The sequence below is a fragment of the Homo sapiens genome, chromosome 8 (genome assembly GCF_000001405.40).
Source record: "Homo sapiens chromosome 8, GRCh38.p14 Primary Assembly".
NCBI lineage: Eukaryota > Metazoa > Chordata > Mammalia > Primates > Hominidae > Homo > Homo sapiens.
The window spans coordinates 97,659,543-97,673,549 of NC_000008.11; the positions used below are offsets into that span (position 1 = coordinate 97,659,543).

The following is a 14,007-nucleotide window of genomic DNA, read 5'->3' on the forward strand; positions in this document are numbered from 1 at the left end:
TCTCCTTTTCCAACTTTGTATCCCTGATCATTGTTAACAAATGCATGTTAAGTCATATTATAGAAACTTGGAACACTTTGTATTGTTTTCTTGAGTATAGCTCTGCTGTAATGACTAGGTAGCTGATAAAAGTGTGTTCTGTAAGAACTGAAAATAAAGCCATTGAAACTAGTATATTGACTTACTAACATGTTGAATTTGAGGGGAATGCATAAGTGAAAAGATGTTGTAGGATCCAGAAAGACGGTTAGAGTACAGATACCTAGGCCCCATTCTCCAAACTTCTCAGTCTGGTGATGGGGCTCAGAAATTATTATTTAAAAAGTAAAAAAGAGGCTGGGCACGGTGGCTCACGCCTGTAATCCCAGCACTTTGGGAGGCCAAGATGGGTGGATCACCTGAGGTCAGGAGTTCAAGACCAGCCAGACCAACATGGTGAAACCCTGTCTCTACTAAAAATACAAAAATTAGCCGGGCGTGGTGGCATGCACCTGTAATCTCAGCTACTCAGGAGGCTGAGGCAGGAGAATCACTTGAACCTGGGAGGCAGAGGTTGCAGTGAGCCGAGATCACACCTTGGCAGTCCAGCCTGGGCAACAAGAGCGAAACTCCGTCTCAAAAAAAAGGTAAAAAAAGAATGATTCTGGTTAAAAGCCAGATTTGGGAATCACACACTTGAGTCTACTCATGAGCATCTCTAAGTGCTATCCATCATTTTATTTTAGGAATGTTAGGAAAGCTTTTGTAGCCTTTTGTAGGCTGTGGCAATGGGTCGGAAAGCTTCTTACTCCCAGAACAGTAGAGCCATGAAATTACAGAATTAGAGGTTCCATTAGAGATTGCCTAACATTCATTTGTTTATGTATCATCTATGGCTGCTTTTATGCTACAATGGAGGAATTATGTAGTTGCAACAAAGACATATGGGCCAAAAAATAAAAATAAAGAACAAAGATATATGGCCCATAAAACCTAAAATAGTTTCTGTTTTGTTTTGTTTTTGCTGAGGACTGTTGATGGCAATCAATAAAATATTTTTTTCTGAATTTTATTTTGCCATACACCCTGAATATGTTTATAAATAAAATATTTTCTATCTGGCTGTTTACAGAAAAAGTTTGCTGACTTTTGAGTAGATCATACCTGTCACTTTATAGATGTAGAAATAAGGCTCGGAGACAATGAGTGAAATATTCTGAGATTACACAGTTAATTGGTGGTCAAATTGCAAACACAGTTTTGTTCTCCTTTTAACTGCTTCCATTCCATTATTTTTGTTAGAGGGACTGATACCTTGGTGAGATAAGAAAATCTGTGGTACAGAATTTTGCTTATGAATTTTATATATATATATATATAAACACTAGGGATAATCTATCAACTCTTAGATAACATTGGTGTACAAAAACTTTTTAAATTTAGGTACAGAGGTAGGATTTGATTGTAGTATATATGGTTTCCTGCGTATAAATCTTTGCACTGATCTGCTAAGCAGTTTGATAATATGATACTTTTTGTTGCCTGTGCAGCCAAATGGGCGGACTGTTGAAGTGGCTGAGGGTGAAGCTGTTCGAACACCTCAAAGTGTAACAGCAAAGCAGCCACCAGAGATTGACAAGAAAAATGAAAAGGTAAGTTTGGGAGCATATGAAATTGTATGCAAGACTCTTAATAGAATGACATATAAGGATAATGCTTTTCTGTTTCATAAGATTGTATGTATACCTCTCATTTAAACAAAACTCAGAAAATCTGAATTAACCATAGTGGATGGGTGGTAAAAGTTTAACTGAGTTGTTTTTGTTTTTTTAAAGGAAAGTTGCATCACCAAATATTTTAAACATTGCTGTGGCAATACTAAATATTCATTATACCAAAAACAATTCATTCACAACTTGAACATCTTGTGTAAGTTTTCAGATATATAACATATATACCTTTTATTCAAAAACAGAACTGTGGAATTGTGTTACCTTTGTTAGTAAGACACATCTAGCATGAAAACCTTAGCAAAATCGTTCAGTGATGTTTAGTGTTGAAATAGATTTCTGTTGTGTTGGAAACATAATTGTCTATTTACTAGACATAGATTAACTTCATTTAACAAAAGAAAATGTGGGCCAGGTGCTATGGCTCATGCCTGTAATCCTAGCACTTTGGTAGGCCGAAGTGGGTAGATTGCTTGAGCCCAGGAGTTTGAGATCAGCCTGGGCAACATGGCGAAATTTTGTCATTACAAAAAATACCAAAATTAGCCAGGTGTGGTGGTACGCACCTGTAGTCCTAGCTACTCAGCAGGCTGAGGTGGGAGGATTGGTTTCAGTGAGCCAAGATTGTGCTAATTCACTCCAGCCTGGGCACCCGAGACCCTGTCTCAAAAAAAAAAAAAAAAGAAAAAAGATATAGATGTGCACTTTGATTTGGATGTGAGATTTTCCAAGTAAGACAATCTATCATACCACATAAATGGTACATTCCTGAGATTTTATTAATTTTCCAGTTGCTTGGCATTAGAACCGACTCATTTTTACTTGACTTAATCTAGCTTGGAAGTAGGCAAAATGAATAAGAAATTCTTAACAGTGGTTCCTTCTACTGTGAGAAAAAGACTTTTCATTCAGTTCCCTTTTGTGCATCGAATTACCCTCCCTTTCCTTTTTTTTTTTTAATATAGAGACAGGGGTCTCACTATGTTGCCCACACAACATAGTCTTGAACTTCTAATCTCAAATGATCCTCCTGCCTCGGCCTCCCAAAGTGCTGGGATTACAGGCGTGAGGTACCACATCCAGAGCCCCTCCCCCTTTTTAAAAAAAAATCCTGTCTATGCATAGCCCCTTTTCAGGAAAAAAAAAACAAACAAAAACAAAACAAGACAGTCACTGATCGGTAAGTGGTTTCTGGGAACCACAGTGCAGCAGCTCTAGCTTCTTGGAATAGTGGTATGAAATGGTTGCTGCTGGCTGGGTGTGGTGGCTCACGCCTGTAATCCCAGCACTTTGGGAGCCCAAGGCAGGTGGATCGCCTGAGGTCAGGAATTCGAGACCAGCCTGGCCAACATGATGAAACACTGTCTCTACTAAAAATACAAAAATTAGCCGGATATGGTGGCACATGCCTGTAATCCCAGCTACTCGGGAGGCTGAGGTAGGAGAATCACTTGAACCCAAGAGACAGAGGTTGCAGTAAGCAGGGATTGCGCCACTGCACTCTAGCCAGGGCGAAAGAGCGAGACTCTGTCAAAAAAAAAAAGAAAGAAAGAAAGAAAGAAATGGTTGCTACAGTTTCTTAATGCTTCCAATTTCAAAATGTCTTTGAAGAAGTGGCTAAGTCACTTCTTCAAAGACATTTTGAAATTGGAAGAACCAAGACAGCTGCAGGTAGAATAGCTTAAAATGAAGGATAGTTTTGGGAAATAATTAAATTTATGTCTGACTTTGTCTTTGGCAGAAAAGTAATGACTTGTGTTAACAAGTAAGCATGTAACATAAGGAGTGTGAGTTTATAGAGTGACTAGTTGATATGCCCAATATAGATTTACACATCTCTGACCTAGTGTTTTCTTTTTTCTGGGCTTTCTCTCTATTAGTGAGTAATGTATACTTACTCCTGCTTCTACTCCCTGAATTGCCCTGAAAAATTTGTAGTTGCAGTAATTGAGGAACTACCATTAACCTCTTAGTGATTAATTTATATAAATTGAATGTGACAGGGTATAAAATCACAGTTTAAAGTTTATCATCATTACTTTGAAATGTCTTGTGGTGGGAAATAATTATAATAGTTGACATTTACTTACTTAAGTATAATATGGCAGGCACCATGCAAGGTGAGGTATGTTTGTATGTGTAAATATACTTACATATCTAGTAGGGACAGCTTATTGAGTACTTACTAGATATACTTTTAAGACTTTATGGTTGTTGCTGGGCGCGGTGGCTCACGCCTGTAATCCCAGCACTTTGGGAGGCCGAGGCGGGCAGATCACGAGGTCAGGAGATCGAGACCATCCTGGATAACATGGTGAAACCCCGTCTCTACTAAAAATATAAAAAAATTAGCCAGGCGTGGTAGCGGGCGCCTGTAGTCCCAGCTACTAGGGAGGCTGAGGCAGGAGAATGGCGTGAATCCAGGAAGTGCAGCTTGCAGTAAGTGGAGATCGCGCCACTGCACTCCAGCCTGGGCGACAGAGCAAGACTCTGTCTCAAAAAAAAAAAAAAAAAAAAGACTTTATGGTTGTTTAAAAAAATAATTTATAGATATTATTTCCTTATTTTCACAAGGGCTTTGAGGTGGTAGTATTATATCCATCTTACAAATGAGAAATTTGAGGCTTATGTTACCTGAGCTATTGAAAGTATAGTCAGTTCTAACCCAAATCTATCTGACTTCAAAGTCTTTACTTTTTACTGCCTTGTATTATTTCTAATCCTCTCAGAAACTCTGCCAGGCAGATAGTTATAGCCCCATTTTACAGATAAGGGCTCCAGTGCCTAGAAAAATTTTGTGATTTAATTAATTTGATACAGTTGGCCGGGCACAATGGCTCAAGCCTGTAATCCCAGCACTTTGGGAGGCTGAGGCAGGCAGATCACCTGAGATCGGGAGTTTGAGATCAGCCTGGTCAACATGGTGAAACCCTGTCTCTACTAAAAATACAAAAATTAGCTGGGCATGGTGGCGTGTGCCTGTAGTCCCAGCTACTCGGGAGACTGAGGCAGGAGAATCACTTGAACACAGGAGGTGGAGGTTGTAGGGAGCTGAGATCGTACCATTGCACTCCAGCCTGGGTGACAGAATAAGATTCCATCTCAAAAAAAAAAAAATGGATGCAGTTTCTGGACTAGGATGTGAACGCAGCTTATTCTGATTCGAAAAAGTTCTTTTTATCATTTAACAGTGCCACCTTTCAGTTGCTGTTGCTTTTTCAGTACAAAGTTTCTACCTTTGGTTTCTTGCCTATTCTATTTGACTTTTCAAATAATAATACATGCTACAACTCATGGCTGGTGTTCTGTTTTTGCCATCCCGTTTTGCATTTTGAATTTATGCTTTTTAATGTGGTCAGGTCTAGGTGACTCAGTTAATTTTTTGTGGTATTGCACTATGTGTGTATTGCGCTTTGTGTTTTAAATAGTTGGTGTTTTTTAGACTTATTTTCTTTCTTTCTTTCTTTTCTTTCCCTTCTTTCTTCTTTTCCTTCCTTCCTTCTTTCCTTTCTTTTTTTTCTTTCCTTTCTTTGTTCTTTCACTCTTGTTGCCCGGGCTGGAGTGCAATGGCACGATCTCAGCTCACTGCAACCTCCGCCTCCCAGCTCAAACAATTCTCCTGCCTCAGCCTCCTGAACCACTGGGATTATAGGCACGCACCACCACGCCCAGCTATTTTTTGTATTTTTAGTAGAGACGGGGTTTCACCACATTGACCAAGGCTGGTCGCGAACTCCTGACCTCAGGTGATCTGCCTGCCTCGGCCTCCTAAAGTGCTGGGATTACAGGCGTGAGCCAGTACACCCGGCCTGCCTTTCCTTATAAAGAAATACATCTTTGATCTTATGCACCTTTATATATATTATCATATTTTTGTTTTTGCTCTCGGAGCCATATCTTGGGCACTTTGAGAAGTACAATTTTTGTCTGTAGAGTAATTGTACTCCTAAGCTGTGATATTGATTACCTTGCCATATCACTTGAGTAAGCCTTGTAGATAAAAGTTTGCCTAGAAACTGTATATGACAAGATCTTAGGTCTATAAAGCAGGTTAAACTGCTATAGTTTTCTAGGTCCTTATTTGGGTTTGAAAGTCAGTGTTTCATTAGTACTAGTCTCTAGTAGACTACACATAGGACGATTAGCCAGACTGAATGCATTGTGCTAATAGATGCTAAAGATAATAAAAATGTAAGATGTACTTACCCTCAGATTACAGGCTAGTTAAGGAAAGGCAAGCAAAGAGAAGATATCTAGTAATACAAGGCATTAAGTGCTGGATATTCAGAGGAGAAAGGTTATCCTACTTGGGTAGCCATAAAAAGATTGACTTAATTAGTCTCTTAAGTATAGGAATGGTATTTTCAGTAAGTAGGCATATGGAGACAAGTTTTAGAAGGGAAGAGAAACAAATGAACACAACCTGACATTATTTAGATTAAACAAATGGACATATTCAGACATAAGGGGAAGCCTTAGACAAGTTTGACTGGTCAAGATAGGGTAGGGATGTGATAAAAACTTAGATATTTTCAACTGGCAGCAACATTGATGATTAATGAATCAGTTTTGCATCTCTGATTGTAAAGATCTGGCCGGGCGCGGTGGCTCACGCCTGTAATCCCAGCACTTTGAGAGGCAGAGGCGGGCGGATTACGAGAGGTCAGGAGATCGAGGCCATCCTGGCTAACACAGTGAAACCCCGTCTCTACTAAAAATACAAAAAATTAGCCGGGCATGGTGGCAGGCGCCTGTAGTCCCAGATACTCAGGAGGCTGAGGCAGGAGAATGGCCTGAACCCAGGAGGCGGAGCTTGCAGTGAGCCACGATTGTGCCACTGCACCCCAGCATGGGCGACAGAGCGAGACTCCGTCTCAAAAAAAAAAAAAAAAAAAGATCTGAATTAATGTAGAAATGTAAAGATTGCTAGTGAGAGAAACAACGGAAACAAAATGTGTAAACTTTTGTCACCACCAAGTTGTTAGGATGAAGTCAGCGATATCCACTAAACCCTGATATCATTTATTACAAGTATTAATAAGGTCTTAAATTTTTATGATGCTACACAATATACAAAATATTTGTACAAAACATTTTCATATCTCTTAATCCTGATGAACAACTCTGAGGACATTATCATTTCTTTTACATAGCTCAATAAAGAGTTTTGTGAATTGTCCAGGAACACATAGCTGATAAGGAATGCTCCTTCAGTTTCTCTAAGGCAGCAGTTTTTGAAGCATGGTCAGTGAACCCCTAGGAAGGGACCCTAGTGACCCTTTCATTAGGTCCCTGAAGGCAAAACTATTTTCATAATAATTAAGACATTATTTTCCTTTTTAACTATGTTGATGCTTGCACTGATGGTGCAAAAGCGATAATAGGTAAAACTGCTGGCTCCTTATCATGAACCAAGGCAGTGGAACCAAACTTCCACTCATTATATTCTTGTTTTGTTTTGTTTTTGAGACAGTCTCACTCTGTCGCCCAGGGTGGAGTGCAGTGGCACGATCTCACTCACTGCAGCCTCCACCTCCCAGGTTCAAGCAATTCTCATGCCTCAGTCTCCTGAGTAGCTGGAATTACAGGTACCTGCCACTACCCCCGGCTGATTTTTGTATTTTTAGTAGAGACGGGGTTTCACTGTGTTGGCCAGGCTGGTCTTGAACCCCTGACCTCAGGTGATCCACCTGCCTCCGCCTCCCAAAGTGCTGGGATTATAGGTGAGATCCACCGTACCCTGCCATTTTGTTTTGTTTGAAGAGACTCTCACTCTGTTACCCAGCCTGGAGCGCAGTGGCACAGTCATGCTCACTGCAGCCTCGACCTCCCAGGCTCAAGCAATCCTTCTACCTCAGCCTCCCAAGTAGCTGGGACTGCAGATGCACACTACCATGTGCCCAGCTAATTTTTTGTAGAGACGCTGTCTTACCATGTTGCCCAGGCTGTTCTTGAACTCCTCAGCTCAAAGCAGTCCACCTGCCTTGGCCTCCCAGAGTGCTGGGATCACAGGCATCTCATTGTATTTTTTACTGCCATCTACTCACAGTTAAAAAAAAAATGCTAGTTTCACTTGAGTGTCCTTAATGAAGCAGCAAAAATTATTATTAGCTTTATTAAATCTTTATTAAATCTCAGTTCTTAAACACATGCTTTTTAATCTGTGTGATGAAATGGAATATATGCATAAAGTTTGCTGCAAAATGAAGACTGATGATTGTCTTGAGGAAAAACACTTATGCAATGGCTTGTGTGCCAAATTAGCCACTTATTCATATTACTCTTTTTTTGCTTGAAAGAATGACTGATAGACAAGCCGTGATTATTCAGATTTGCATATTTGCAGACCTTTTCTCAAAAATGAACAAGGCTATCTTGTCGCTTAAAGGAAGCTGGTAGTATTTGTTGCAAATGATAACATGACTTGTTGGCAAGTGAAAATTAGAAATTTGGAAAATTTGCTGGTGCAGTAGCTCACACCTGTAATCCCATCACTTTGGGAGGCCAAGGCAGGAGGATTGCTTGAGCCCATGAGTTCAAGACTAGCCTGGGCAACATAGCGAGACCCTGTCTCTATATTAAAAAAAAAAAAAAAAAAAGGAAGAAATTTGGAAAATTTGTGTCTGCTACCATGAGCTTGACAACTTACCAGTACATAAGGAATTTCTAATGACGTTAGTTGGTATATTAACAAATGTAATTTTAAAAAATATATGTTGTTTAATGGAATGTTTTAACATTTTGGAAGATCTACCGCCAGGCGCGGTGGCTCACGCCTGTAATCCCAGCACTTTGGGAGGCCGAGATCAGTGGATCACAAGGTCAGGAGATCAAGACCATCCTGGCTAACACGGTGAAACCCCGTCTCTACTGAAAATACAAAAAACTAGCCGAGCGAGGTGGCAGGCGTCTGTAATCCCAGCTACTCGGGAGGCTGAGGCAGGAGAATGGCATGAACCCGGGAGGCGGAGCTTGCAGTGAGCCCAAATCGCATCACTATACTCCAGCCTGGGCGACAAAGCTAGACTGCATCTCAAAAAAAAAGAAAAAAATTTTTGGAAGATCTTTATAACTCAGTGAACAAATAATTTTCCAGTGGACCAGTGCTTGCATGTTACAAAATCATGCATAAAAGATTCATGCACATTGCAATATAGGGGCACATGTTCCCAGGATCTCCTGAGGGCTGTGTCATGGGCCAAAAAAAAAGAAAGAAAAGGAAAAAAATTGCAAGATAGACCAATGGATTTTAATGTAATAGAATATGGAAAGTTCATTGATGCAATTTCAGATTCCACACTGTAACAACTTTTTTTTTTTGAGACAGAGTCTAGCTCTTGTCACCCAGGCTGGAGTGCAATGGCACAATCTCGGCTCACTGCAACCTCTGCCTCCCAGGTTCAAGTGATTCTCCTGCCTCAGCCTCCCGAGTAGCTGGGATTACAGGCGCCCACCATGACGCCTGGCTAATTTTTGTATTTTTAATAGAGATGGGATTTCACCATGTTGGCCAGGCTGGTCTCGAACTCCTGACCTCAAATGGCCCGCCCACCTCGGCCTCCCAAAGTGCTGGGATTACAGGCATGAGCCACCGCGCCCGGCCATGTAACAACTTTTATAAAGTTATGATGTGATGAGTTTTGGTGTAATGTTTTTCCCTCCTCTACCTAAAACCCTTCATGCCTTCCCATTGCTCTTAGAAAACACTCCCCAATCTGAAACATGACCTAAAAGCCCCCTGCCTTGTCTCATCTCCCACTTCTTACCCTCTCTGAACTCCAGCCACATTGGTTTTCTTTCCCTTTTGTTAAACAGCTTTATTTTGAGATAAGCCATTAAATTTACTTGTTTTAAATGTGTGATTTAAATGTTTTCACAGAGTTTTACAGCTATCACCACAATCTAATTTTTTTTTGAGACGGAGTCTCGCTCTGTTTCTCAAGCTGGAGTACAGTGGCACGATCTCCGCTCACTGCAACCTCCACCTCCCTGGGTTCAAGCAATTCTCCTGCCTCAGCCTCCCTAGTAGCTGGGATTACAGGCACCTGCCACCACACCCAACTAATTTTTGTATTTAATAGAGACGGGGTTTCACCATGTTAGCCAGGCTGGTCTAGAACTCCTGACCTCAAGCGATCCACCTGCCTCAGCCTTCCAAACTGCTGGGATTACAGGCATGAGCCACTGCGCCTGGCACCACAATATATAATTTTAGAACATTTTCCTCACCCCAAAAAGAAATCTCGTGTCCATTAGCAGTAACTTAATATTTTCCCCTCTCCGCCACTTATCCCCAGTCCCCCTGCAACTACTAATTTCTGCTATAATATCAAGGAGGAGTGAGACCCAGAATTATGTGAAGAAGCTCTTAAAATACTACTCCCGCCAATCACAGTGGCTCATGCCTGTAATCCCAGCACTTTGGGAGGCCGAGGCAGGTGGACCATTTGAGGTCAGGAGTTCGAGACCAGCCTGGCCAACATGGTGAAATCCCGTCTGTACTGAAAATACAAAATTAGCTGGGCATGATGGCACACGCCTGTAATCCCAGCTATTTGGGAGGGTGAGGCAGGAGAATCACTTGAACCTGGGAGACGGAGGTTGCAGGCGGAGTGGAGCAGAGATCGCACCACTGCACTCCAGCCTGATCAACAGAGGGAGACTCCATCTCAAAAAAAAAAAAAAAACTACTCCCTTTTCTACTTGCGTTTCTGTGTATATGTAGCCTGGATTTTTTTGCCTTGTGTTAGCCCTTTCTCTCACCGCTATAAAGAAGTACGTGCCTGGGCGCCGTGGCTCACGCCTGTAGTCCCATCACTTTAGGAGGCTGAGACATGTGGATCACTTGAGGCCAAGAGTTTGAGACCAGCTTGGGCAACATGGCGAAACCTCGTCTCTATTAAAAATACAAAAATTAGCCAGGCACGGTGGCACGCCGCCTGTAGTCCCAGCTATTTGGGAGGCTGAGGTGGGAGAATCACTTGAACTCCGGAGGCGGAGCCTGTAGTGAGCTGAGATCGTGGCACTGCCCTCTAGCCTGGGTGAAGAGTGAGACCCTGTCTAAAAAAAACAAAAACAAAACAAAAGACCAGCTTGGTGGCTCGTGCCTGTAATTCCAGCACTTTGGGAGGCTGAGGTGGATGGATCATGAGGTCAGGAGATTGAGACCATCTTGGCCAACAAGGTGAAGCCCCGTCTCTACTAAAAATACAAAAAGAAAATTAGCTGGGTGTGGTGGCGTGTGCCCGTATAATCCCAGCCACTTGGGAGGCTAAGTCACGAGAATCACTTTAACCCAGGAGGTGGAGGTTGCAGCGAGCTGAGATCGTGCCACTGCACTCCAGCCTGGTGACAGAGCGAGACTCCGTCTCAAAATAAAATAAAAAATAAAAATAAATGCCTGAAACTGGATAATTTATAAAGAAAAGAGGGTTCAGTTGGCTCACAGTACCACAGGCTGTACAGGAAGCATAGCAACATCTGCTTCTCAGGAGGCCTCTGGGAGCAACCCATGGCAGAAGGTAAAGCATGAGCTCTCTCTGTTGCCCAGGCTGGAGTGCAATGGTGCAATCTCGGGTCACTGCAACCTCCGCCACCTGGGTTCGAGTGATTCTCCTGCCTCAGCCCCCCGAGTAACTGGGATTACAGGCGCCCACTGCCACGCCTGGCTAATTTTTTTGTTTTTTTTGTTGTTGTTGTTGTTTTTTTTTTTTTTTTTTTTTTTTGAGACGGAGTCTCGCTCTGTCGCCCAGGCCGGACTGCGGACTGCAGTGGCGCAATCTCGGCTCACTGCAAGCTCCGCTTCCCGGGTTCACGCCATTCTCCTGCCTCAGCCTCCCGAGTAGCTGGGACTACAGGCGCCCACCACCGCGCCCGGCTAATTTTTTGTATTTTTAGTAGAGACGGGGTTTCACCTTGTTGGCCAGGCTGGTCTTGAGCTCCTGACCTCAGGTGATCCTCGTGTCTCGGCCTCCCAAAGTGCTGGGATTACAGGCATGAGCCATAGCACCCGGTGGGGGATAACATTTCAGTATGAGATTTGGGTTCGGACACAGATCCAAACCATATCGTGCCTCAGTCAAAATAATGTGTTGCAGTAAATTGAATACAAACACAGATATATGAATCCAGCTGTCTTAAGGTAGACATTAAAGATATTTGCAGAATATAAAATCTGCCACTGTTCTCGCAAATTTTTTTTTGTTTTGAAAAATATATAGGTATCATTATATAACGTATAATTTATGATTATTTTGTTATAAATTAATATATCTAAACAATTTCTTAAGTTTGTATGATAGATATAACCCACATAAACAAAGGCTCTTGGCCAGGCACAGTGGCTCAGACCTGTAATCCCAGCACTTTAGGAGGCCAAGGTGGGAGTTCAAGACCAGCCTGGCCAACATGAAGAAGCCCCATCTCTACTAAAAATACAAAAATTAGCTTGGCATGGTGGTACGTGCCTGTAGTCCCAGCTACTTGGGAGGCTGAAGCACAAGAATCACTTGAACCCCAGGAGGCAGAGGTTGCAGTGAGCCGAGATCGTGCCACTGCCCTCCAGCCCGGATGGTAGAGCAAGACCCCATCTCAAATAATAATAATAATGGCTCTTAATGACATCCTTAATACATTTTAGGAATCTAAAAGAGTATCGTGTGACCCAGAGGTTTGAGAATTGCTCTGGGAGAGATCAGTGTCTAGAAAGTCAAAAACAAAATAATTTTGAGGTAACATGCATTTAAACAAGTATAAGCTAAAACAGCTCTTAGCAAAACAGAATATCTGCATGCCCAAAGAGTTTATACACATGTGTATTTTCCCTCCATAATGCATCTTAGAAACTATAGTTTAAAACCATAGGTTGGCAAACCATGGCCAAATCTAGTGCTCTGCCTGTTTTGTAAATAAAGTTTTATGGAAACACAGCCACACTTATTTATTTATCATTGGCAGTTTTTTACTATAGCAGTGGAGTTGGATAGTTTCAACAGGAGAGACCTTATGATCTGCAAAGCCTAAAATATTTACTGTCTGGCTCTTTTTTTCCCCCTTCCTGAACCTATTAAATTCTCATTGTAGTCCTTTGGAGTCTTTAAATGTTTTATCTGAGTGCTTTGATATGTTCTCTGAGCCTTGGACTATTAACCTTTTGGGTTCTCTTGTGCCACAGAATTTATAGTTTCATGATTTCTTGGGTTCCCACCCAAGGAATTAGTTTTCAAGTTTCCCTTTAAGGTAAACAAAGCTACAAAACTGTTTTTCTGTAAAAAAGAATACCATACCAGGAAAACCATATTTATCCCTCTAGACTTTTCTGTCTGAACTGCAAATGGCCAAATGGAGACCAGAACCAGGATTTCTGCCCCAGTCAGTCATTTTTCCACTATACCATGGTTTTACCTTACACAGGAAGTGGCAAGAGGGGATTGAAAAACGGTGAAATGGCAAATTTGGTTTTAAACATGCTTAGATTGTGGCGAGAATGGGATCTCATACTGAAATTAATTTATTAGTTTGTTGGGAATGTGAGAACCGTATCTGGGGAAAAGTTCAAAGCTAGATAAAAGGCGTTCTTAAGAGAGGTTTCTTGTAAATGTCTTAGGATTGTGAGTTTAGCCATGTTGCTTGTGCCGTGTGCTATGTCCTATGAGCCCACTCCAGACATATTTAAATAATTTAATGACTTGGACGATGGATCATGTATACAAATATAGTAGCTCAGAGGTTTTATTTGAGTGGAGGGACCGAATAAGAGTTAGGTAGACACGGCTGTATGTAATTCAGTCTAATTTTAGGCTCTTTCATTGGTTACTCATAAATTAACTGAATACCTTCTGCGTACAAGGTACTACTGTAGGCATTAGAAATACAACAGTTGATAAAACAAGAGCCCCTACTCTTGTGAAACTTAGTCGGGAAAACAACTAAAAATATAAGCATATTCTCTACTGTCTGGTGGTAAGTGCTATGAAAGAAAACAATTAGGCCAGGCATGGTGGCTCACATCTGTAATCCCAGCACTTCAGGAGGCCAAGAAGGGAGAATCTCTTGAGGCCAGGAGTTCAAGACGAGCCTGGGCAACATAGTGAGACCCCACCTGTACAAAAAAATTTTTAAATTTAGGCCAGGCACGGTGGTTCACGCCTGTAATCCCAGCACTTTGGGAGGCCAAGGTGGGTGGATCACCTGAGGTCAGGAGTTCAAGACCAGCCTGGCCAATATGGTGAAACCCTGTCTCTACTAAAAATACAAAAAATCAGCAGGGCATGGTGGCTGGCGCCTGTAATCCCAGCTA

At 41.8% G+C, this 14,007-nt stretch overlaps 1 protein-coding gene across 10 annotated transcripts in view; it reads left to right on the top strand.

Moving 5' to 3' along the window:
* MTDH (metadherin) overlaps nucleotides 1-14,007 on the top strand; it is an 86,077-nt gene that overhangs the window by 15,359 nt on the left and 56,711 nt on the right. For all 10 annotated transcript variants that reach the window (NM_001363137.1, XM_011517369.4, NM_178812.4 and 7 more), the window contains exon 2: nucleotides 1,530-1,631. In NM_001363137.1, coding sequence (NP_001350066.1) covers nucleotides 1,530-1,631 — 102 coding nt within the window. The remainder of the gene's footprint in view (nucleotides 1-1,529; nucleotides 1,632-14,007) is intronic.